General features: G+C 39.4%; 1 pseudogene, besides 1 other annotated feature; it reads right to left on the bottom strand.

The window, feature by feature from the left end:
* Positions 9,171 to 9,860, bottom strand: RPL32P8 (ribosomal protein L32 pseudogene 8; annotated as a pseudogene).
* Positions 20,532 to 21,201: an enhancer, noted in NCBI's record as "NANOG-H3K27ac hESC enhancer chr3:149162053-149162722 (GRCh37/hg19 assembly coordinates)". NCBI's record gives its function as "activates a minimal SCP1, AML or CMV promoter by ChIP-STARR-seq in naive and primed H9 embryonic stem cells {active_cell/tissue: H9 hESC(naive and primed)}" and the evidence as "EXISTENCE:reporter gene assay evidence [ECO:0000049][PMID:30033119]".

Raw genomic sequence — 26,034 nt, forward strand, 5'->3', positions numbered from 1 at the left:
GATAAACTGTGGTCCTACCTTCACCTGGGGGCAGACAAGCTAAGGAAACTAAAAAGAACATGCAATATCTTTTTTAAAACATGTAATTTCAACTTTAAAAAGTAACCACGTGTTGATTATAAAGTTTTTTAATAGGAAATTTATTTAAGAACAAGTTTGAGATTCAAGGGCAAAAAGGACGTAAAACTATGCCCAGAGGGGCTTTGTAGTGAAGTTTTTCAAGCTGGGACTACTTATGCCTACTGACAGATGGAGGGAAAAGAGGGTGGAAAAGCAAGGTTTCCTTAGATCAGGATGTCAAAGGAGCAATCAAGCTGGGAAAACTGGAGCCTGGGAGAGAGAGGAAGCCAGACCTTAGGAATTATCATCCCATCACCTGTGGACAATCCCTCTAACATTTTTGGTCTCTACTTCTAATCTGTTTTCCACATATTTATGTAAAGTGTTTTCATTACACAACTGATCATCATTTTGCAATGTAATTTTTTTACTTAATATTATGTTTTATCATGTTGTTAAATATTATTTTAAAATCATATTTCAGTGTCTAATGATCCCTTATGTAGATGCTACATTTTTAGGGCTAGCAAAACATATTTTCAGATTACTCTCTAGAAAAAGCATAACCATTTCTTTCCCACCAGAAATATATCAGTCTCACTTCACCACACTCTCACAAGCTGTTGTGTTATCATTTTTCTCCATCACTGCCAATTTGACAGGGAAAATAGGGTGTGGAGATGTAGATTTTAATCTGCATTTATTTGATTATCTTCAACTTTAGCCATTTTCATGGCTTTATTAGTTACGTATTATTTCTGCTTTAAAATGTTCATGTCCTTTGCCCTTCTATTAAGATAATTTTGCTTTTATTAATTTGAAATAACTTTTTAATAGCAAAAACATTAATATTTGCCATCTTGATCACATGTTTTTAATAAAAAAATTTTCCAGGCACAGTCAAACTCTAAATATCATATTGTAGCTATTGTAGTGTGATGAATGACAATATTTGCAAATACCTGTATATGTTTTTCTTTGCTGACTATATGTTTTAAGTACCAGTAGGCATTATTATCATCATCATCATTATCATGCTTCATTTACTTCAGGTATTCTTTTATTTAATTTTTACTTGAACTAAAGATTTTCAACTATTATTGCTGTGTGGCATTTCACTAATGCCAATAAAAAGTGAGTTTCTTCATGGAATACCCAGGGTTGAGAAGTGGGCAATGGATGAGCTGTACTGCTTTTCTGTAAAAGATCTAATTCCTTCCATGAATGAAAATGAAAATAACCTCAACATTTCATAGTGACTAGGAGTGGCTACAGGCTTTGGAGCCAGAAAGCCCTTACTCCGCATTTACTAACAACAATGTATCCGTGGGCTGTGCTTCCTCTCTGAGTTTCAGTTTCTTCCTGTGTAAAATGGGAATGCTAAGCAGAATTTTTGTGAGAGTTCAAAGAAAGGATGCATAGACAGTGTTTAGTTCTAGGCCTGACACATGACAAGTGCCCTGTAAGTGGTGCCATTCTTGGTTTGATTTGATGCCATGCCACTGCAGAGAGGAACCCCTCATGCTATGACATGCTGTTTTTAATGTGATTCTGCTTTTCAAGCATCTTTTAAAAATCCGAACAACCACCAGCCCTCTTAAGTTCCATTCTACACATAGATCTAACTTTGATTCTTTTATGGTATTATGATAAAATAATACATGTAGAACCTAACTATTATTTCCTGGTCATCAGCTCAGTGATAGTTTTTCTGATAAGGGACCTGGATAAACGGATTAGTTACCACTTAACAACATAAAAAGAAAATACTATGTGATTAAATAAGTTAGTACATGCATAAGAAACTTCCAAATATTCAAAGATACCAAGAGAACTTAGGTGTTGGTGAGTATGGAAAAGTAAAAATAAAACAGGAGAGCTGCTTCATCTGCCCATAAAAAGAGAAGAAATAAGTCTGAGATTCTCATAGCTATTGCTGATGGATGGGGAAGCATTTGTTCTTATGTAGGAACCCAACATTAGAAGTCTCATGGCAAATTGTAGTTGCCTAAAATGCAAAAAAAAAAAAAATAAAAATAAAATAGTAGCCAGCTTTTGATTAGTGGTTTGGTTTAAATTCTGTCAATGAGTTAAAATGGTACTATTTAATAATTCAGCTGGGTGAAGTGGCTCACGCCTTAATCCCAGCACTGTGGGAGGCCAAGGGGGGATGATTGCCTGAGCCTAGGACTTCAAGACCAGCCTGGTGACATAGGGAGACTCCATCTCTATAAAAAACAAAAAACATTAGCCGGGTGTGGTGGCTGCACCTGTAGTGCACCCTCCAACTACTTTGGAGGCTGAGGCGGGAGGATTGCTTTGATTGTGCCGCTGCACTCCACTCTGGGTGACAGAGTGAGATCCTGCCAAAAAAAAAAAAGAGTAGTTGGAGGTTAGAACAATATTTATTCTCCCACTTTTCAACTTTTGAAATTTTCAGACAAAAAGAGACTGCTCCCTGGCTGGCTCTCCTTTACTGGAATGCAAGTTTCAGTTAGAGCAGGACATGTGTTTCAGCACGGTACACAGGGGCAGGCACAGTGCAGGGGCTCGATGTGGCTCCTCCGTGCACACTTGTTGAATGGGAGACCTTCAAAGATCAGATAACAGTTTAAATAAATGATCTCCAAGCTGACTCTTCTCTTTTCATGCTGACTCCCCTTTGTATCTGATGGGGACACATACTTGAAATTTCTCCAGACATGCTCAGCTGAGCCCCTTATAACTCTCCTTTTGTCTCTATTGACTCTTTCCCATGGGGTCCCAGGGAGGCTAAATGGAACTCCAGGGAGTAATGTGGTTACACCCTCTCTCCTTACTGCATGCTAGAATTTGCTCAGAAAATAAGTAAATTTGTAACTAAACTAGGGTATCTTCATGACTTCAGTTGTTCTATACAGATAAGGCTAAAGATATTTTAAAAAAATAAAAATAAAAAAACAAGCCGACTCTTGTTCTCCCGCCCCTGTGAATGACGGAGTTTTCCTTTCCTCCACACTACTCAGGATGAGTGCACCTGGGCCCTGGGAAACCTCACCTACAGCAGAGCTCTTAAGAGACAAGATTTTCATTTTTCAGGTAGCAAAATGAATACAAGTTTGTGGTTACATAAAAACATGGTAACACATGGAAAACAGAGAAAAATGCCAGTCACACAAGTAGAAACACTGAAAGCACTGCCTTCCCATGGAAAATAGATAACCAGCATCAACTTCCTGGCATATCCTCTCAAGAGTAATTTTCTAAGTGCTTATTTATGTCCATAAGCACAGAAATAGCAAGGATGCATTTTCAGGAGGAAATGTCTTTTAATCTGCCACAAACATTTACTTTAAAAAAAAAAGAGACAAATCTTTTTGTTACAGTAGGAAGAAAATGATGGTTTGTTAGTTTAGTTCACAGGTATAACCCAGCACTTAGAACAGTGCCTGGCTCAATAACCACTTGTTTGAATGAATGAATGAATGAAAGCAATAACATCACTCTGTTAAACAAGAAAGCTGCTCAATATTGAGAATGTCTACTTGTTTATGTATTTTTCTTTCCTTGCATCATGTTTCCCTATGTGCAACACTTGGGCAATTCTTCATAATAAATGATAATCTCTCTCTTCAGGAAGGTCTTTAAAAGTACCTTGGGGTCTTTATGGTGAGCATGTCCAAGGTCTAAATCCAAAGTTTATGGAAGTTAATTGAAAAAGCCAACTCAATGGTGAGCCCAGATTTTTGTTTATTCAGAAATAAACAAAACCTTTGAGTGTCTGGCCTGGTCAGAATATAAAAGACTAAAAAGCCGCCTTTTGGTTTGTAGGGAAGGAAAAATCTTCTACTCTTCTACCCTTCTAGGTTCTCAACTGAGTCCCTTGTAAAAAAATACAGACTAACAAAAGAGAAATATGGACATTTATGTACATTCATATCTATCTATCTATCTATCTATCATCTATCATCTATCTATCTCTCTCTATATATATGAGAAACTCAGAGAATAAGTAACACAAGGAAGTGGCTCTGAATTCAGACTTAAATACAATCTTCAGCTGAAAATAAAGAAGGGTGTGTGGATTCTCAAAGGCTTAGTCTTACTAGGTTGCTTGAGTGTCCTTTATTTTAAAGTGTGCATGGAGTGGGGTGAGGGATGGGAGTAGATTACAAAGTGGCATCACGTGTTTCCTGCCATCTTCTATATAGAATTCCTACCAAAAAAAATATTTAATCTGAATCTAACTGTGAGAAACAATCAGACAAACCTGGATCGAGGGGCTGGGCTCCTTAAAAAATGAGCCAGCATCCCATGTGAACCACCAAGAACTGCAGTAAAGTTTAGAGGGCATTTTTTCTATTGGCTCTTATTTCCATTGTCTAGATTCTGAAAGTGAGCTTGCCAGAAATAAGCCTCTTTTGCTCTGGATATTAAAGTAATTTAATACAGAGCATGGCAAAGTCCCATTCATTACCTAATTAACAAGAACATTTCTCCTTGATTACAGTTTGTTGACATCATTACCTTAGACCAGAAGCCAAGAGAATGCAGCTGTCCCTAGAATGTATATTCCTGAGCTAATAGAATTAAAGCCAGATTCACACTGTGCATCTTGGAGTTCTCCCTTTTTTACTCCTAATCACCGGACCCTCTGTGTTAGTCCGTTCTCACACTGCTATAAAGAACTATCTGAGACTAGGTAATTTATGAAGAAAGAGGTTCAACTGACTCACAGTTCTGCAGGCTGTACAGGAGGCATGGCTGGGGAGGCCTCAGGAAACTTACAATCACGGTGGAAGGCAAAGGGGAAGAAAGCCTGGTCTTCACATGATGGCAGGAGAAAGAGAGTGAGGGAGGAGGTGCTGCCCACTTTCAAACAACCAGTTCTCAGGAGAACTCATTCACTCTCATGAGAACAGCAAGGGGGAAAATCCGCCACCATGATCCAATCACCTCCCACCCGGTCTGTCTCCCAACACTGGAGATTACAATTCAGCCTGAGATTTAGCTGGGGACACAGAGCCAATCCATGTCACCCTCTCAGGCACTTACTGCCTGACAAGATATTGGCATCTTGGAGTTTTTCTCTATTCTCTCTGTTCAGCTCCACTGTGCAAAGTGGTCCTAGCCATAGAATAAAGGTGGTTTCCATTCAATAACAGTTTGAGATGTGGTTTCTCATAAAGCAAAGGAAGCACCCCCTAGTTCTAAAATGTATTTACTACCAAAAGTCTGAGGTGGAGAAAAGAACAAGAGGCACCCCTCCTTAAAGCATTGCATTGTACCATTGCCTTTGGAAAGCTAAAAATCTGCCATACCATTTTAACACTCAGAAATATGACCAAGGAGGACAGTTCAGTAATCACAAGGTTTGGCTGGGTGAATTGTGTTTAGATTACTTTTATTAGTTAATTAGTCCAACCCATATTTATTAAATTCCTGATATATATGGGAATTATGGAAGATACAGCTGTGAGTAAGAGAGTGGAGGTCACTGATAGGAATGGGCAGTCAATGGACAACTAATTATATAATTATCTATTTCGCTACTTAAATAGAATTAAGAAAAGGGCTGCAAGAGGGATGTATATGATACCTTGAGAGCACGTAGTAGGAGGATCTATTCTATCTGGGGATACAGAAATGCCTCCCTAAAGCAGCAGCATTAACCTGGATTCTGAGTAGGAGTAGGAGTTGACCAAAAGGAGGGTGGAGGGCATGAAAGGTATTTCTTAAAAGAAGGCCAAAGTTTTGGGTCATAGAGTGCTTGGGGACACCTGGCAACTTGAGGTTAGCAGAGGTCAGAGGGGCTTGCAAGTAGATTTAAGTTTCTGGATTTAACCCTGACAGCAATGGGATGCCACTGAATGGTTTACACAGGTGAGTGACACTGCAGAATAGTGAGGCTGGGGACACTCAGAAATTACCTTTGTGCATAAAGCTTTGTATGCCATTCAGATTACTTCATCAGGATATACTCCTAAATGGAATATTATTTAGGTCAGAGGATGTGAAGTGGCATTTTGTTATTGCTATCTTTGCATTTTATGGAAATTTTTACACACATAAAAAATGGAGAGAATGTACCTATTTCCCAGCATCAAAAGTGATCAGCATACAGTACAAGCAGTCACTTTCCATCTACTCTCCATGCAGGCCCATCCAATCTCCAATGGATAATTTTGAAGCAAATTCTAGACATCGTTATTTTATCTGTAAATACTTTAATACATAGCTCTAAAATATGAAAATGCTTTTCATTTTTTTCTTTATGATACCCTAATTACATCTAATAATTAATAATTATTCTTTAATATGGCCAAATATCCATATAGTGTGGTTTAAACATTTTTTAAGTTTTGGACACACGTTGTTAAACTGCTTTTTGGAAATTCTGAACAAATTTATATTCTCACCCACCACATTGGAGGCTGAGGCTCATCAAATCTCCATCAAACTTGAATATTATTTTTCTTACCTTCACCAGTTTCATAAATAAAAAGTGGTATCTTATCAAAGTTTGAATTTGCATTTCTCTAATTACCAGTGTGGTTGAACATTTTTCCATAAGCTTATGAATTATTTATATTTCCTCTTTTGTGCACTATCCGTTCCTGGCCTTTACATGGCTACCAAGGGACCATCTGGCTTCTGTTTAAACATATCTGGTGACAAAAACACTACCATTTCCATTTCAAGGGCAGTAGTCCTGAAAAAGGGGCTATAATTGTTAGAAAATGCCTTATATTGAACTGAAGTCTTTTTATTAAGTTTAGTAACTTCTTAGTTCTATCAAGTGGAGCTTCCCAAAATGCCTTTCTCAGCAGATGACATCTTCTAAATGTTTGATGACAATTAGTATAGTCCCCCAAATTCTCCAACCTAACATTCTAGTTCCTTTAACTATTCATTTACTGTAATTTCTAAACTCCTCGTTATTGTGGTCATTCTCTCCTAGAAACACTCAAGAGAATTGTGTTGAGAAACACTTAATGCGAAAATGTTTCTTTCTTTCTTTCTTTTTTTTTTTTTTTTTTGATACAGGGTCTCACTGTCACCCCGGCTGGAATACAGTGGTGTATTCATGGCTCATTGCAGCCTCGACTTTCCAGGCTCAGGTGATCCACCTCAGCCTCCTGAGTAGCTGGGACTACAGATGCGCACCACCACCACAACCAGCTAATTTTTGTATTTTTAGTAGAGATGGGGCTCACCATGTTGCCCAGACTGGTCTCAAACTCCTGGGCTCAAGTGATCCACCTGCCTCAGTCACCTAAAGTGCTAGGATTACAGGCATGAGCCACTGCACCTGGCCTAATGTTCCTAATAAAATGTCTTTCTCTGGCTCTGTATTTTTCTTTCTACAAAATGGCTTGTAATGCAAAAGAGATAATTCTCTAATTCTTACCCTCTATTCTGTAAAACTGAGTACACTTCTGTATCTTTTAAGGTCTCAAGATGTAAGTCAAACTTTAACATAGAATTAAGCTTTTAGAATTAGAAAGAAACCATTGTAAATGATTTTATTTAATAAATACTACTGGGATATTTTTATCAAACTGAAATAGTATATTCAACCTGAGAAAGGTGATTTTTAAAAATTTTAAAAATAAACTAGTGCCAATTGCAGTTATTCGAGTGCTATACAAACCCAAGACACCATTTTACACTGACAGCAGGTTTCTGCGTTACAGTACCGCTTCCAGTATACATTTTCTTAACCTTTAAGGATTCTGCAATAATTAGATTATGAAATATTTCTGCCTTATGTAGTGCCAAATTATTTTTTTTAAATCATAGAATATCAGCTAAGGAAAGCACTTTACAGACCCTTCCAGTCCACTCTCCTACCCCAGTTTTCCAGAGAAACAAGCTGAAGTTCAGGGAGGCTAAGAGCTGTTACTAAGGACACACACACAGAGTCAGGGCAGATTTTTGAAGCAGAAGTCCATTGGTCAATCTTTACTGTAGATGTTCTTCAGCTTCTGAAAGAGATTGGTCACCGTGATACAGGGACACAGGACCCCTTTGGATTCTCAAAAGGTTTTCCTAGTTAAAGATATAACAGGTGATAGAATCTGCCAAAATAACTATAGTGAGACAACAGGGAGGGGCTCATAGAAAACACCACTTTTAGATATTAATCATGAGGAATCTAGACAGGATTTTACTGTAGATTGTCTTTTCCAAAGAAAGCCACAACAATAAATCTTTAAGAAGTTTTTATCACCGTTAAATCTACAGATCTACAAGAAATAATAAGCTGTTGGTTTAAGCTATGAAAATCTGAGTGGTTTATTACATAGAAATAGGTCACTGGAACAGGTTAAGTCACCCCCAATTCTTATTTGTCTTTTTTTATAAACTGTTTCTAAATGAATAGGAATCATTAACAGAATGCTAGTGAACCGTGTGTAAATATATTTGGTTCCCTAATGCTAATGTTTAAAACCATTGACCCTCTTTCCCAACCCTATATATTTAGTTTATATGTTGTATTTCAATCCTTGTCAGAACCCTTTAAGAAAGATACTGGCATTCTCACTTCACAGATGAAGTACTCTAGACCGAAAGATAAGAAACACTCCTAGCAGGTAATGGGGCCAGATTCAGACCCACAGCTCACTAACTTTAAATCTGCAGTTCCTTCTACTTTCAAAATTGGCAAAAAGGCAAGACCTTCATTTGTTCTAAGAGAAGCCCTGGCTATAGTTGAACATTAGGAATTAGAAGCAACATTAGGGCCCATCAAGTCTATCTCTACTGATAAATGGCAAAAACCATACAGTTGACCCTTGAACAACGTGAGAGTTAGAGGCGCCAACCCCTGTGCAGTCAAAACTTCATGTATCACTTTTGACTTCCCCAAAACTTAACTACCAATAGTTCTGCTGTTTAGCAGAAGGCTTCCCGGTAAAATAAACACTCAATATTTTGTGTGTTATATGTTTTATATGCTATATTCTTACACTAAGGTAAGCTAGAGAAAAGTTATTAAGAAAATCATAAGAAAGAGAAAATATATTTACTATTCATTAATTGAAAGTGGGTCATCATAAAGGTCTTCAACCTCCTCATCTCCATGCCTAGTAGGCTGAGGAGGAAGAAACAAAGGAGGGCTTGATCTGGCTGTCTCAGGGGTGGCAGAGGCAGAAGAAAATCCACACATAAGTGGACCCACAAAGTTCAAACCCGTGTTTGTTTGTTTGTTTCCAGTTCCTATGGTTGTATTTAAACACAAATAAAACGTAGACATGAGCTGTTTGTTCATTTTCCCCGCCGCACAGCCTGGCATTAGGACTGGTGACTCTGAGGGCCAGCTGGGCTGCTCTTTCCACCATAGCTGTGCTGTTCTTGGAGGAAACACCGAGTGATCTCAGCACGGTAAGATTTCTTGCACGGCAACAGCACTTCCAGTTCCTTGACACTGTGGATCAGGAACTTTCAGAAGCCGCTGAGCAGCATGTGCTTTTTTGTTATTGTTGTTGTTACTCCCATAACCAATGTTGGGCATCAAGATCTGGCCCTTAAATCTTCTACGAACACTGTTGTCAATACCACGGGGTTTCTGCTTAATTTTGACATATCAGTCAGACTGATGCCAGATGAACGTCTTGGTCCTGGTTTTGATGATCATGGGCTTCGTGAGGAGCCCGAGTGTGGCCCTGATGCTAAGTGGGAGATGGCTGCCAACTGCATAGGCAGCGCCAAGGAAGAGAGCGCAAACCCACGTTGTTCAAAGATCAATTGTAATCATTTGACAGTGTTATTGTGAGGATTAAATAAGAAGTTGCATATAAGGCAGTAAGCGCAGTGCCTGTCTGTGGTAGATAGTCTCCAGTATGGCCTCCAAATAATCCCTCCCACCCGGTACACACATACAACTCCTCACACCAACTGGTAGAGTCTATTGCCTTCCACCTTGAATCTGGGCAGCCTGATAATTTCTTTTTCTTCTAGTTTCTAAAATTTGCATGGGGACATTTACAAAATTTGGGTCAAGATGCAAGTGGCATGTTTAGTTATTGCTGTGGAAATTAATAATTCGGCAGTACTTACAACACACTTACTACATGTACTTCTAAATGACTTTCATGATTACAGAACTCAAAATGGTTTTTGCCCCTTTTAAAAATAAGACAAATAGGCTGGGTGCAGTGGCTCACGCCTGTAATCCCAGCACTTTGGGAGGCCAAGGCGGGCGGATTACTTGAGGTCAGGAGTTCGAGATCAGCCTGGGCAACGAGGTGAAACCCCGTCTCTACTACAAACTACAAAATTAGACGGGCGTGGTGGTAGGCACCTGTAATCTCAGCTACCCGTGAGGCTGAGGCAGGAGAATCACTTGAATCCAGGAGGTGGAGGTTGCAGTGAGCCGAGATTGTGCCATTGCACTCCAGCATGGGTGACAGAGCAAAACTGTCTTAAAAAAGAAAAAGACAAATATAGATATATGAATGTATAGAAGGCGAATCTAGTGAAATTTATTCCCAGAGATAATATTCAACAAGTATTGAGATCAATTGAGGAAATTTTAAGTGTGACCTAGTTTTGATGGCCAGAATCAGTGAAAATGATTCTGGGACTTCTAAGCCTGGTCCTTAAGAAGGCTGTTTCTTCTCCTTTAAAATAATCCCTCTTGGAATGCTTGTGACTGCCATGCTGTAAGGAAGCCCAAGTTAGCCACATGGAGGAGAACTGAGGTACCCTGACCACAGCCTCAGCTGATTCTGGTCCTCAGTCAATCTGCCAGCTGAATGCAGCCGCATGAGTAATTTCAGGTGAAACCAACAGAACTGCCCCTACAACATTTGGGATTGTGAGAAATAATTTGTTGTTGTTTTAAGTAACTATACTTTGGGATGGTTTTTTATTCAGCAATAGATAACAAACATAGTCACATATTAATGCTCAGTAAGTAGAGTGTTTTATTATTTCTGTTACTATCATTCAGAAGGCCATATAACAATAATGGGGGGTGGGCACAGTGGTCCACACCTGTAATCTCAGCACTTCGGGAGTCTGACGCGTGTGGATCACTTGATATCAGTAGTTCAAGACCAGCCTGGTCAATATGGTGACACCCTATTTCTACTAAAAATACAATAATTAGCCAGGTATTGCAGTGCACGCCTGTAATCCCAGCTACTCGGGAGGCTGAGGCAGGAGAATCACTTGAGCCCAGAAGGCAGAGCCTGCAGTCAGCCAAGATCACATGACTGCACTCCAGCCTGGGCAACAGTGTGAGAAGCTGTCTCAAAAATAAACAAATAAATAAATAATGGTATTTATTCAGATGAAGAAAATTCTCATTAAGCCTTCAGGAATTTTTAAGATGTAACATAAGAACTTTCCATTTTTAAGTTGTCAAAATAACAACTTCAATTAATTCCAGTCTGGGAAATCCTTACTGCAATAATTGTTGACATACCCAAAATGAAATCTGACCCACTCAATCATTTATATCTTATTAAACCTGTAATCATGTCCTTATCAAATGGGTTTTAAATATGCCTTGTCATATCTTTGCTTTTTTTCTGACTTGCGACTTTGAGTACTTGCTGGCTAAATAGACATTGCAGCAATCATTAATCAGATTTACAGGTTCGAATCTCCTTCCTGGGAGATAGAAGTATCTTCTACAGGCAAAAATATGGACATTCCAACTCTCTCTCACTTCCCTGTCACCCCTACCTGTCTAGAGTTTTAACTGTCTTCATCTATTTTAAACAGAAGAAAGATGTTAGTGAGATATCTCCCCATTAAAAATGATTTGCTTTCTTCCTCCAAGCAGAACCTAGCCCCTTGGGAGAAATTTTAATTTTTTTTTTAACAATGGCATTTTGTTTCTCTAAGAAAATACTGGAGAGAAAAGGAAGGATCCATGTTTGCAAATAATAATTTTTAAAAACCACACTTCCAGGGAAAATGGCAAATGGAGTGCAAAGAGCTAGATGCATCCCTTTCCAAGTCTTCACTTAAATAACACCTAAGGGTTTGGGTTTTGTTTTGTATTCAAGCATAAGCCCATAAGGCTGTGGAGAACATGGGAGAGAACAACAGTAACAAAAGTACGAAAGCTCAGAAGCAAGACAGATAGCAACTGACTCTGAAGAGAGAAAACTGAATCCGGAGTGTATTCTTTTGCTAGGGCTGTTGCAACAAAGTACTACAAACTAGATGGCTCCAGTAATAGAAATGTATTCTCACAATTCTGGAGGCCAGAAGTCCAAGATCAAAGCTTGGTCAGGGGTTGGTTTATTCTGAGGGCTGTGGGAAAATCTGTTCTAGTCCTCTCGCCTAGCTTCCGGTGGTTTGCCGGCAATCCTTGGCATTCCTTGGCTTATGAAACATCACCTCAATCTTTGCCTTTGAGGCAGGAGGTAGGAACAACTCAGGAGGAAAGATCTGACTCTGGAGGCAGGGCTCGGACACTGGACCAAATTGAAGACTAGCTTTGAAAACAGGGATGGAGTGGAAGCAGCTTTCTGTAAGACACACCCACCAGTGTGACATGTCAGTTTACCATTGCCATGGCAGCACCTGGAAGTTACCATCCTTTTCCATGACAACGACCTGATGACTCAGAAGCTACCACCCTTTTTCTAGAAATTTCTGCATAATCTTCCTCTTATTTTGCATATAATTAAAAGTAGATATAAACATGCCTGAAGAACTGCCTCTGAGCTACTCTGGGCACACTGCCTATGGGGTAGCCCTGCTCTGCAGGGAGCAGTACCTCTGCTGATACTCTCTACTGCCGCTTCAATAAAAGTTGCTGTCTACCACCACCAGAGCTCACCCTTGAATTCTTTCCTGGGCAGAGCCTGCCCTGCATCCCCAAGGGGCTTAGCCTGCCCTGCATCATCATCTTCACATGGTGTTCTCCCTGTATGTATGCCTCTGTGTCTACATTTCCCCTTTAAGGACACCAGTCTTATTGGATTAAGGCCCACTCTAATGACCTCATCTTAACTAATTACATCTGTAATAACCTTATTTCCAAAGAAGCCCACATTCTGTGGTACATGAGTTAGAACTTCTATATATGAATTTTGAAGGTGACACAATTTAACCTCTAACACTGAGCCTATAGTGGGAAAACTGAGAACCTGTCTCATTTAATCCTCATAACAACTCATTGCAATGGACATTATTCTTATTTAGCAAACAAGAAGGCTGAGACTCAAGGAGGCTGAGTAATTTGTCCAAGCTGCCTTAAGTTATAAATGCAAACACAGAATTCAAATTCAGGACAGTTTGAGCCCAAAGTACATGTTTTATTTCTGTTATACTGCTTGCCTCAATGACTGGTTGCTTCAAGAACTGGGTAAACATCAGTAAGTTCCTTAAATTCAAATATGATAAACAATATTCACTCTGCAAGACTACTTAAGAAAAGTTTGAAAGGTTTAAATGAGGTAACTTGTGAAAGTTTATTTGGGAGTCTGCATTGCTGTAGAGACACAAAATATCCATCTATCCATGCAGAGAATCCTAACAGAAAAGACTATGCACACAGTTTTGGAAGGCTTTAGAGAACCTTAAAACATATTTGAGTTACTTTATTCTACCTTATCACTGTTGAACTAGTGAATGGAAATTTGGTTGCTGCAGGTGGATGTGTCCTAGCCACATTTAGACCCAGAACGTCAGATACTTCTATGTCTTCCTGAAATGAAGTTTTGTAACTTCAAGTAGTGCTTAGCTCAGGGCAAGGTTCATGGCTCCTGCCTAACGATGTTGTGTGATAAATGAACTAGTCAATAGATAAATACATCGATCAATCAAACAATTCTTAAATCAATTTTTAGATTGCAGGAAACTGTGAGACTCTCTAACCAATGTATGAAGAAATCCTCCTTTTGTACTTGCTTCTTTGGTATATAATTTAAAAATTCCAAAATATGTGGGCCTATTTGGAGATCCCATATAGGCCTGTCTTCTACAGGAGACCTACCAATAGCAAAGAGACATCTGGTATTTTATTTCCATTGCAGATGGTTTGGAATTGGGCTTTTCCCCACTGTAGTAGGCATGACTGCATTTCCACAGAGACTGAAGTTTTCTCTATCTTTGCCTTTGTCACATAAAGATGGTCACAGGGTGTTCTACTGCAGTGCAAAGTACTGTCATGACTGCCAACAGGGAATGCAGCACAGAGGTTTCCCTGTTGGCTTCAAGAGTCCTAGGAGTGGCCTTCATTGACCAGGTTTATTCTTAACAAGAGTTAGCTATAAAACTTCCCTTAACAGGCTTTATAAAGGGCAGTGACTTGAGTCATTGAGTTCCCTGGCATGCTTATTTCTAAGGGGATGTAAATTTGGTGCTGTCTCGGTATTTGGCATCTATGAGGTTAACTGTTACAGGCTATAGCATTGATTTCTACATCAAGAAATTAAATGATTGCTAATGAGACATTTTAAATGCTATTTAGAATGAAAGATTGTTTCCTGATTTCTTCCTAGGGCAGGATGTGATTTCTAGAAAATTTGATTTTTGTTAGCTTAAACATATCTTTATTTTTAATTGAAATGTTTCTTGAGATAATTATAGATTCATATGCAGTTGTAAGAAATAATGCAGAAAGTGGGCCAGGTGCAGTGGCTCACTCCTGTAATCTCAGCACTTCGGGAGGCCGAGGAGGGCGGATCACGAGATCAGGAGTTCGAGACCAGCCTGGCCAACATGGTAAAATCCCATTTCTACCAAAAATGCAAAAATTAGCCAGGCATTGTGGCAGGCACCTGTAATCCCAGCTACGTGGGAGGCTGATGCAGGAGAACCACTTGAACTCGGGGGGCGGAGGTTGCAGTGAGCCGAGACCATGTCATTTTACTCCAGCCTGGGTGACAGAGTGAGACTCCTTCTCAAAATAAATAAAATTAAAACAAAAAAGAAAGAATGCAGAAATTTTGCATACCTTTTACCTACTTTAAACATACCTTTTTAAGTGTTTTGGGGTTGTTCTTTTCATCTTTAGGTGATGAAATTATTTTCTTCTGACTCAGTACTATTGATATTCCATGTCTCCATGAATAATGCAGAAAACTTGGTCAACATTTTACACTCTCTAGTCCTTATTTTTTTTAATATTTAAAAGGAAGAAGTTGCTCTAATTTATTCCTAAGGTTTCATCCAGTTCTGATATTCTATCAGAATCTGCAATTAAGATCTCTGACAAACCTATGGCCACCACTGTCTCTGTGTAGCCCATGAGATAAGGATGGTTTTTGCATTTTAAATAGTGGAAAAAAATCAAAAGAATAGTAACTTTTTGTGATATGTGAGAATTACACAAAATTCAAATTCAGTGTCCATAATAAAGTATTATTGGAACACAGTCAGGCTCATTCATTTACATAGTATAATAGCTGCTTTCACATTACAATAGTTACAATAGAGACCATCTGTCTCACAAAGCCTAAAATATTTACTATCTGGCCCTTTTTAAATCATTCATACCCTTTAACCCTGGAATGCTACTTCTAGGAATTTATCCTAAAGGAAAAGAAGAAATGTTCAACACTAGGAGATTCATTACATAAGATATGTTACCTTTATCAAATGGAGAAGTATGCAGAACATGTTATATAAGAGTGTTTAATTTCCTACCTTGTAAAACTTTGTAGTTATTCTAGTGATAATTGTGTAGTATGTTTATATTCACTTTAAAAGGAAGTCAGTTTCTGAGATACCATTTTGCATCTATCAGATTTACAAAATCTTAAAAATCTGAGTATTGGTAAAGAAACCAGAATTTTCATACACTCATGATGGGAGTGTAGTGTAAATTAGATCAGCTACATTAGAAAACAATTTTCCAATTTCTAGTAAAATTAAAAACACACTTATTCCCCATCATGTCCATTTCTATGTAAATGTTCCAGAAAAATTTTCTCACATGTGCATAAGGATAAAAAATTAGGACAAAGATGTTTATAAACACAATTTTTAAAACTATATAGGAACTAAAGAACTAGAAAGATTCTATATGTCTACCATTAGGAAGATGCATTAATAAAATTTATTTTATTCATGTGAACTGCATACCATCAGGGTTAGATATTATAAAATATTACTAAATAAAAAAGTAAGGTCCAAAATGACATGTATAACATAATATTTATGCAAAAGTGTAACAAAAATCACAAAATATATTATACATAGTCAGCCCTCAGTATCTGTGAGTTCCACATTCATTAATTCAACCAACTGGAATCAAAAATATTCAGGGAAAAACGTGGATAAACATGTACAGACTTTTTCTTTTTTCATCATTATTCTCTAAATAATAAAGTGAAACAACTATTTACACAGCATTTACATTGTATTAGGTATTATAAGTAATCTAGAGATGATTTAAAGTATATGGGAGGATATGTGTAGATTACATGTAGATTAATGCAAACATTAATACTACGCCATTTTAAATCAGGGACTTGAGCATCTGTGGATTTTGGTATCCATGGGATTGGGGGTTCCTGAAACTAACCCTCCATGAATACTCTCTCTGTCTCTCTCTCTCTCTCTCTCTCTCTCTCTCTCTCTCTATATATATATATATATATATATACACACACACACACACACTCTCTCTCTCTATCTCTCTATTATATATATAAACAAACTCTCTCTATATACATATACTCTCTCTATATATTATACTCTCTCTCTATATATATACAGATATATAGAGAGAGTTTGTTTTTACATACAAAAATAGAAAAATATATGAAAATGTAGACTTAAAAGATGCACAGCAGATTTGTGACAGCATTAACCCTGGGAAGGGATGAATGGAATTAGGGCTGGGAAAAGATAAAAAGAGAATTGCAATTTTAACCATAAAGTGTTATTTCATTCCCAAAACAAACAAACAACTTAGACATGTATTTTTTTGGCTAAATATTTGCTTATACAGTCATATTTTTTGCTATATTTTATATGGTTTGAATTTTTTTCCTTACTTTGGCTTTAATAGCCCAAGGAATTCAGTATGGCTAAAGTTCACAGAATGACAGTAGCAAGTCACAAAGAATCTCTAAAAGTAGATGATACTGAGTGATCTCACAATTTATCCTAACTAGTTTGAATTTCTGTCAGTAAGGATATTCTTCTGAGGCCTTATCTCTAGACCTTATCACCCTTGGAAGTCATAAACCTTCTTTGGTTTTATGTTATAATTAGAACCAGAGCCACCAAATCAGTAACACTTCAAAGTTCAATGACAGGTACAATCACAATAATTACCACCCTTTAAAATAACTAGGAAAGAGGGTAGGATTTTTTATTTCAAAATATAAAGACTATGTTTCACAAGCAAAACAAGAATCACAAACCTTCTGAAATAAAGAAAGAAAGAAAGGAAGGAAGGAAGGGAGAGAAGGAGGGAAGGAGGGATGGAGGGATAATTGTTCTTTATTAAGGAGGTAATTCACAGTATTCTATCCTCATAGTAATTATTAACTAATATCAGCTTTCAGAATAGGCATCTGTAGGCCATCTACATTTGATCAAATTCTGCATGTGAAATTTTAAATTACTCTTTATCCATATATATGCATATGTGTGTATGTGTATATAATCATATATATATGTATCTAATCAATATAGTTGAGAGATTAAGAGCACAAGTGTTAGAGAGCCAGAATGCCTGGGTTTGAATCCAAATTATGCCGTTTACTATTTATGAGACTTTATAGAAGTAATTTATTCTTTGTCAGTAATTTGGTTATTTTGGTTATGTAGCCTTTACAATTTCCTTATCTGTAAAATGAGAAATACAATTGTACCTATTTCACAGGGCAATTATATTGAGTGAATGGGTTAATATACACAAAAAGCAAAACATTAACAAAAAATACTCAGTAAGTGTTGGCATTTTGTATATTCCCTGAATACATTCATTACATAAATAGCTAAATGACACTGTCATATTCCCCAAATGTCATGCACTTAGTAGGCACCCAGTAATGCTAACAATAATAAACATGAAACAATCCAAATTTGGACATGAAATCCTTTAAGTCACTACAAAAATCATTATTCAAGCCAGTAGCTTGCTTTGTATCTACTCTTGCATGTTAAGAGCCCATCATTCTTGGCATTTCATGTCACAATGTAGTTTAGCCATCACAATCTGCCTTAAAGATGGCTTCGGAGCCATGGCTTTCAGGAGACACAGTTCTGAAAAGATAAAGTGGCCACCTCCCAATATTGACAATACAATAGTAGAGGCTTCATAAAATTGAACTTCCATTTAGCCTTCTCATCTCTGAACCAAACCATCTTAATTCCTTTTATCTTTTCTTATACATATTGTCTACTCATTTATTTTCCTTTTGTTCCTCTCTAGTCTCAAATATGTGTACTGTAGAGTTCCACATTGGACAGGAATGCCAGCTACTTTCAGTCTGTGTATAGTCCCATCATTACAGAGCAAATCATGGTACTTTCCAAAATAACAATCTCCAGCAGTCACAAACGTTCAGCCTCTGGTGCACCAGATTTTCAGCTCTAGAAATTATGACTTAATGTTACTTTGTATATAGGTATGTGATTAGCTCACAGTAGCCTTATGCTACATATAATTGCAATCAATCATGCAGAATAAATCTTCTGAAGATAGTGAAGATATATGGTAGTAATTCTGTAACCCTGTTCTGATGAGTGTAACCATGGTTTCCTTGCATTTTTAACTTTCCATGGATATTTCTTTGGAAGCAACACAGAATAAATGTAAATTTAACAAACGAATTTAATAAAGAAGATTCTACAACTGAAAAACAAAAAGTTATTTAGAAGTACTTGATCTTAACATTTTACTATGTGTATTTCGATTCTATTAAGAAGCACATTCAAATTTCTCCGCCAGGAATAAGAGAATCACAGATAATTTGAAGTTTTATTAAAAGCAGTACCACCCCCAGAAAAATAAAGACTTTAGCTTTTATAACTGTATTCAAGCCGTTCAATAATAAGCTAAAGTGTGCATATGTGACTCTTCAGGATCTGAAAGCTGCCAGTTTGCCTTCCCATGTATCACTTTTCTCTAATTAATCTTTTAATTAGAAAGATTCTTCCATTCAAACCACATTATTTCATGTGACACATTCTACCAGCCAACCCCCATGACATTTTTACATCAACCCTCAGTAATAAGTGAAGGCTACAAATATAAATAGGCAATTAAAAAGAAGGAAGTAATTAGCTTGTATTAGAGAACACTGAGCTGATTAGTCATCTTGAAGTGTGGCTTGCTCTAGTTATTTTTAGCAGCAGTAAAACATACTTCTTTTCCTGCATTGCCACTGTCTTGTATTCATAGGCCTGACTACTACCTAAAATATTATCCACACAGAGATTTGCGTGGGCAAAGAACAACAATGCAGTGGGAGGTTCTTAGGACATATGGGAAAACGGGTCTGTTCATTTGTTTGTTCATGTATGTTTTTTTTCTTTCCAAATGGCTGTGTGCAGGAATATGAAATGTAGATTTTGATGAAGTCACCTTCCCCAACTGTCTTTTCTGGTTCTGTCTGGATCCAAACCTTACCATGCAAATTATAAGCACAAACTGGCGTTTTAGTCTCTCTTGCCTGCATGGTGCTTACAAAAATATCCTCACTGTGCTCCGAACTCTGTGAAGGCAATGATCCCAAGCTTCCAGTTAAGGTCACTAATCTCTAACTTCAAAATATAAACACAAGTAGAAAACATTGCCTATATTAACTCCTTTTTTGAGTTCATAACATTGGTTTCCCATGAATTGATTACCTATCTTTTTTCAAAAAAGAACTTTGCTTACAAATACACCTGTGATATGTTCTTATCTAAGTTGAAAAAAAAAGCATGATATAATTATTAAGAACTGAACAAAGGTTACAGGAAACATGGTATGATATGGAGCACTTAATTACCATGCCAGCCCCCAGATACGACTGAGTGGCGGTGACTAACAGGTGGTGTCATCTCCCTCCTCCAGGCATAGTAGATCCCCCTGTTATTTATTATAAGAGGCTACTCCTAGTATGGCAGCCCTCTTGTTTAACACTGATATGGCAAGGGTCCTGTTTCTCCAGTTCTTAGCTCCTAAGGAGGGACACTGCCTATAGGTTCAAAGAGTGTAGGGACTCTCGATGGGACCTAGACACTGAGGTAGAGAAGAGTAATGGGATAGCTGATGCTCTACAGTGGGGAAGTCACTCAAACATAATCCCAAGTCAGTGTCATTCAAGCCAGAACTTTGGTTCCAGGAAGCCTCAGAAAAGATGGAGTTTCTGTAGCAGGTAGGGAAGGCACTTAGGGGAGAGAGACAGAAAGCTCTGCATCAGCCATAGGAGAAACAGAAATAATTTCCTATGGAACGCCCAAAGGATCCACCCAGAATCCCACTGGACTCTAGTGGACCTGGAGGAGTTTTGGCCAGATGCTCCTAGAGGCTGGCTATGGGGCTACCAGTGTGGATCCCAGAGTGTTTATATGAACAATGCAGAGTAAGGTAAATATGAATATGATTCCTACTTTGAGAAGCCACACACACACACACACACACACACACACACACACACACCATCAATTCGTTTTTTTTTTTTTTTAATTTTTTTAGTATTTATTGATCATTCTTGGGTGTTTCTCGCAGAGGGGGATTTGGCAGGGTCATAGGACAATAGTGGAGGGAAGGTCAGCAGATAAACAAGTGAACAAAGGTCTCTGGTTTTCCTAGGCAGAGGACCCTGCGGCCTTCCGCAGTGTTTGTGTCCCTGGGTGCTTGAGATTAGGGAGTGGTGATGACTCTTAACGAGCATGCTGCCTTCAAGCATCTGTTTAACAAAGCACATCTTGCACCGCCCTTAATCCATCCAACCCTGAGTGGACACAGCACATGTTTCAGAGAGCACAGGGTTGGGGGTAAGGTCATAGATTAACAGCATCCCAAGGCAGAAGAATTTTTCTTAGTACAGAACAAAATGGAGTCTCCTATGTCTACTTCTTTCTACACAGACACAGCAACAATCTGATTTCTCTATCTTTTCCCCACATTTCCCCCTTTTCTATTCGACAAAACCGCCATCGTCATCATGGCCCGTTCTCAATGAGCTGTTGGGTACACCTCCCAGACGGGGTGGCAGCCGGGCAAAGGGGCTCCTCACTTCCCAGAAGGGGCGGCCGGGCAGAGGCGCCCCCCACCTCCCGGACGGGGCGGCGGCCAGGCGGAGGTGCCCCCACCTCCCTCCCGGACGGGGCGGCTGGCCAGGTGGGGGCTGCCCCCCACCTCCCAGACTGGGCGCTGCCGGGCGGAGACACTCCTGACTTCCCAGACGGGGCGGCTGCCGGGCAGAGATGCTCCTCACCTCCCAGACAGGGTCGTGGCCGGGCAGAGGCGCTCCTCACATCCCAGATGATGGGTGGCCGGGCAGAGACATTCCTCACTTCCTAGACGGGATGGCGGCCGGGAAGAGGCACTCCTCACTTCCCAGACTGGGCAGCCGGGCAGAGGGGCTCCTCACATCCCAGAAGATGGGCGGCCAGGGAGACGCTCCCCACTTCCCAGACGGGGTGGCGGCCGGGCAGAGGCTGCAATCTCGGCACTTTGGGAGGCCAAGGCAGGCAGCTGAGAGGTGGAGGTTGTAGCGAGCCGAGATCACGCCACTGCACTCCAGCCTGGGCAACATTGAGCACTGAGTGAATGAGAGACTCCGTCTGCAATCCCAGCACCTCAGGAGGCCGAGGCTGGCAGATCACTCGCGGTTAGGAGCTGGAGACCAGGCAGGCCAACACAGCGAAACCCCGTCTCCACCAAAAAAATACGAAAACCAGTCAGGTGTGGCGGCACGCGCCTGCAATCCCAGGCACTGGGCAGGCTGAGGCAGGAGAATCAGGCAGGGAGGTTGCAGTGAGCCGAGAAGGCAGCAGTACAGTCCAGCTTCATCTTGGCATCAGAGGGAGACCGTGGAAAGAGAGGGAGAGGGAGACCGTGGGGAGAGGGGGAGGGGGAGGGGGAGGGAGGGGGAGGGAGAGGGAGAGGGACAATTCTATGAAAGGACTCTAGTTGAAGCTGAGATATGGGAGCCAGCATCATTAAGAAAGGGTAGCAAAGACAGCAACCACTGACAACTCATATGGCTTCTCCTGTGACTTCATAATAGTTCTAATATACTTTCTCTTTAACACTTCACAGTTCCTGAAATGATCATTTTCCTAAAAGAGAAACAAATCAAAAAAGAAAAAAATTAGTCTATTGTATAAAGGATGCCATTTTGGTCCCAGCAATCTTTGGATAGAGATATTTCTGTTTTAAAGTTACAATTTTTCTACTCTATTCCTTCTGTAAGAGGGGAAACTTTTAAACTTGAGATCCACAGCCAAACGAAGTATTTTCAGGGTGACTTTATTACCGCTATGGGGCAAACAGAGAAAGTCAGACTTTTCTATAGGAGCAAGGTTTTGTCTAAACATGAACATGATTAAATAAATCAAAATTAAAATGTTCAGTTTTAGAGAAGAGTTAGAAAAACTACCTCTACTTCACCCTCTTCAGATGCCCCCACTGGAATAAAACTGCTGTTGAAATCTGAACCCTGTGTCTAACTGCCAAGTTGGAAACTGCCAGATCTGATGTATAAAATACAAAGTCTGCTGAAGACCCACAAAGTCATTATCCTTGGAACTGAAATTATATTTTCAATCAAGGAAAATAAGACATTTTTCTTTTTCCATTCCATTTTTTTCTAGTAATTTTTAAAAATATATAGTTTCTATAATTTTATTTTAAATTAAGCAAGTATTTGTATGATGCTTTGTAATACATAAAACACATGGGCCAGGCGTGGTGGCTCATGCCTGTAATCCCAGCACTTTGAGAGGCCAAGGCGGGCAGATAACCTGAGGTCAGGAGTTTGAGACCATCCTGACCAACATGGAGAAACCCTGTCACTACTAAAAATACAAAATTAGCCTGGAGTGATAGCACGTGTCTGTAATCCCAACTACTTGGGTGGCTGAGGCAGGAGAATCACTTGAACCCGGGAGGCGGAGGATGCAGTGAGCTGAGATTGTGCCATTGCACTCCAGCCTGGGCAACAAGAGTGAAACTCCAGCTCAAAAAAAAAGGAAAGAAACACACACACACACACACACACACACACACACACACACACACACACACACACAAACATATTACATATTTGAGACAGTCTTGCTCTGTCACCCAGGCTAGAGTCCAGTGGCATGATCTCAGTTCACTGCAACCTTGCCTCCCGGGTTCAAGCGATTCTCCCACCTCAGCCTCCCTAGTAGCGAGATTACAGGTGTGAGCCACTGTGCCCAGCTGGCCTTGAACTCCTAGCCTCAAGTGATTTGCCTGCCTCAGCCTCCCAAAGGGCTGGGATTACAGGCGTTGAGCCACCGTGCCTGGCCATATTGCCTTATTTAACCTTCACAACAACCATTTGAAGCAGATTAGTCCTCTTTGACAGATAAAAAATGTTAGTCCTCTTTGACAGATGAAAAAACTGAGACTCAATGAACCTAATTTCTTTATCCAAGGGTTCTAAGCTGCTAAGTGTCATGGGTAGGACTTAAGCCAGGTTTTAGATTCTAAACCCAGAGTTCTTTCTATTAGGTTGGAGCAAAGGTAATTGCGTTTTTTTGCCAAAGCAATGGCAAAAAACACAATTACTTTTGCGCCAACCTAATACTACATGTGGTTCTTCTCACCTCCAGTCATTTTCCTGCATGTTTCATTTTCAGACATTTTCCTGAAATCAAGGCCCACTGTGTGTTGAAAACATACAGAGGTTGCAAGACTCTTTGCCAAAAATATTTTCATTTAATTCAATTCCACACATATTTATTAAACTCAGTGATTATGACACAGAGGCTTGCTCTTTATTGGGAAGGCAGGGTATTACAGTAGGCTAACCACTCTGGAAACAGACTACCTAGGCTTGAATCCCAGCCCACCACTTTCTAAAAGCATTACCTTGGGTAGCTTACTGTGCTTACATTTCCCCATCTGTATATAGGGTATAATAATATTACCTACTCCATAAAGTTGTTATGAGAACTAAGTGATGTAATTCTTATCAAACACTTAGAACAATGACTGGGACTTAGTAAGAACCAAATAAATCCTGGTTAATATTTGGAGGGACAAAGATTTGTGGTGACCATAGCTACACGAATACCTATTTGAATGCATAAATAACTCTGCCACCTGCAGTAGGCCGATAATTGTAGTAGAATAGGTATTAATCAGATGTTATTATGGTTCTGTCTAGGAAAGCAGGAGCCCAGGAGGAGGCTGTTTGAGAAGGCCTGTGGGTGGAGGACAATTTTATAGGGTTTAGAACAAGCAGAGACATTTGGGGAGCAAAAACTATGGTGATCAAAATTAGTACTTGATTTAATGGTTGTTTAAAGCAATGCAACCACGGGTATCAAGCTTCAGGAGTATGACATAGAAAATGGAAGGGCTTCCAGACCTACCCATCTCCCCATCCCGAGGAAGCAACTGACTTGAAGAGCAGAACTTCCCAATCAGCTACTGTACAATGATGCCATCAAGTCTTCAAGAAGACAAGTGAAATATTCCTGCCGAAGAGACTAAAGCCTCCAGGTCACAGTGTGACTTCCCCTTCAGTTCTGACTTCCCCTATGACTTACCTAACTCACATAGCTCCTTGAGGACCCCTCCCTGCTTCTTCCTTCCCCCTTTCTCCTTCCTCTTCTTCCTTCCCTTCTCATATTATTCTACCTAATGGTGTTTTATGAAGAATGACTAAAATGCATAAAATCATTTTGTAAAAATGCAAAATGCCCTGTGGTTTAATGATGACTAAGCACAAAAGAAAAACAAAGCTGAAAATGCATAGCTATCTTTTAATCTTCATGAGAATTAGCTTGCTCAATGATTTCAAACGTGTTAATCATGCCTCAGACCCCTGGGCTTGATACTGTTTTATATAGGAGGTTTATGCTGGGTTTTGGTTTTGTTTTTGAGACAGAGTCTCCCTCTGTCACCCAGGCTGGAGTGCAGTGGTGCTATCTCGGCTCACTGCAACTTTCACCCCCTGGGTTCAAGCAAGTCTCCTGCCTCAGCCTCCTGAGTAGCTGAGATTACAGTTGTGTGCCACCATGCCTGTATTTTTAGTAGAGATGAGGTTTCACCATGTTGGCCAGGCTGCTTTTGAACTCCTGACTTCAAGTGATCCTCCCACCTCAGCCTCCCAAAGTTCTGGAATTACAGGTGTGAGCCACCACGCCTGGCCTATGCTGTTTATAGAAAAGTAAACTGTGACATAGAAGCAATTTTTCTTAAAAGAAGCCTGTGATTTAGCAGTAGAGCTGGCGAAAGGCCTGCAAGACCTGGCTTCTGGCTGGACTAGCAGCCTAAAGGTAGCTTCCACTTGCTTTAGACTGAGACCTTCTTCTGCTACATACTCTAGCAATTGAGGGGGATGCCCTCAGGGATATAAAACTAAGTTATGGAAAAAAGCCCTGTAACCACATGTTAATTCTCAGCCCTGTAAATTCTCATCATGGCCCCTTACTGGACAAGTCTTTCCGCCTTTGTGGTAGTGACTCTGTCCTTTTGATGATAGTTTTAAGTATCTTTCCAGATGGCCAACGTAAGGTTATTTAATTCAGTAAAAAAACATTGTTTTCCTCCTTTCGAGACTCTTTCTAAGGAAATTTTCCAGCTCCACAGGATGGGACAGAGCCTTGATGTATTTTTCTTTCCTGAACCTAATTGTGGAAAGAAAAGCAAAAATAAAACTAAAGCTGGAAGCAAGAGGCTAAGTCCTTAAAAAGAAAAAAAAAACCATAAAACTTTCTGAAGGGGAAGGAAGATAATCTTAAGAATGTCTTAAACATAATGAATATGTATTTCCTCTGCAAGCCCTAAACCAGGGTGATATATGTAATTCTATATTAAATAATGCTGAGGTTTCAGAAGTTGAAGTCACTGTGTTGCAAAGTGACATC

This window comes from Homo sapiens, chromosome 3, assembly GCF_000001405.40.
Source record: "Homo sapiens chromosome 3, GRCh38.p14 Primary Assembly".
NCBI classification, from domain to species: Eukaryota; Metazoa; Chordata; class Mammalia; order Primates; family Hominidae; genus Homo; species Homo sapiens.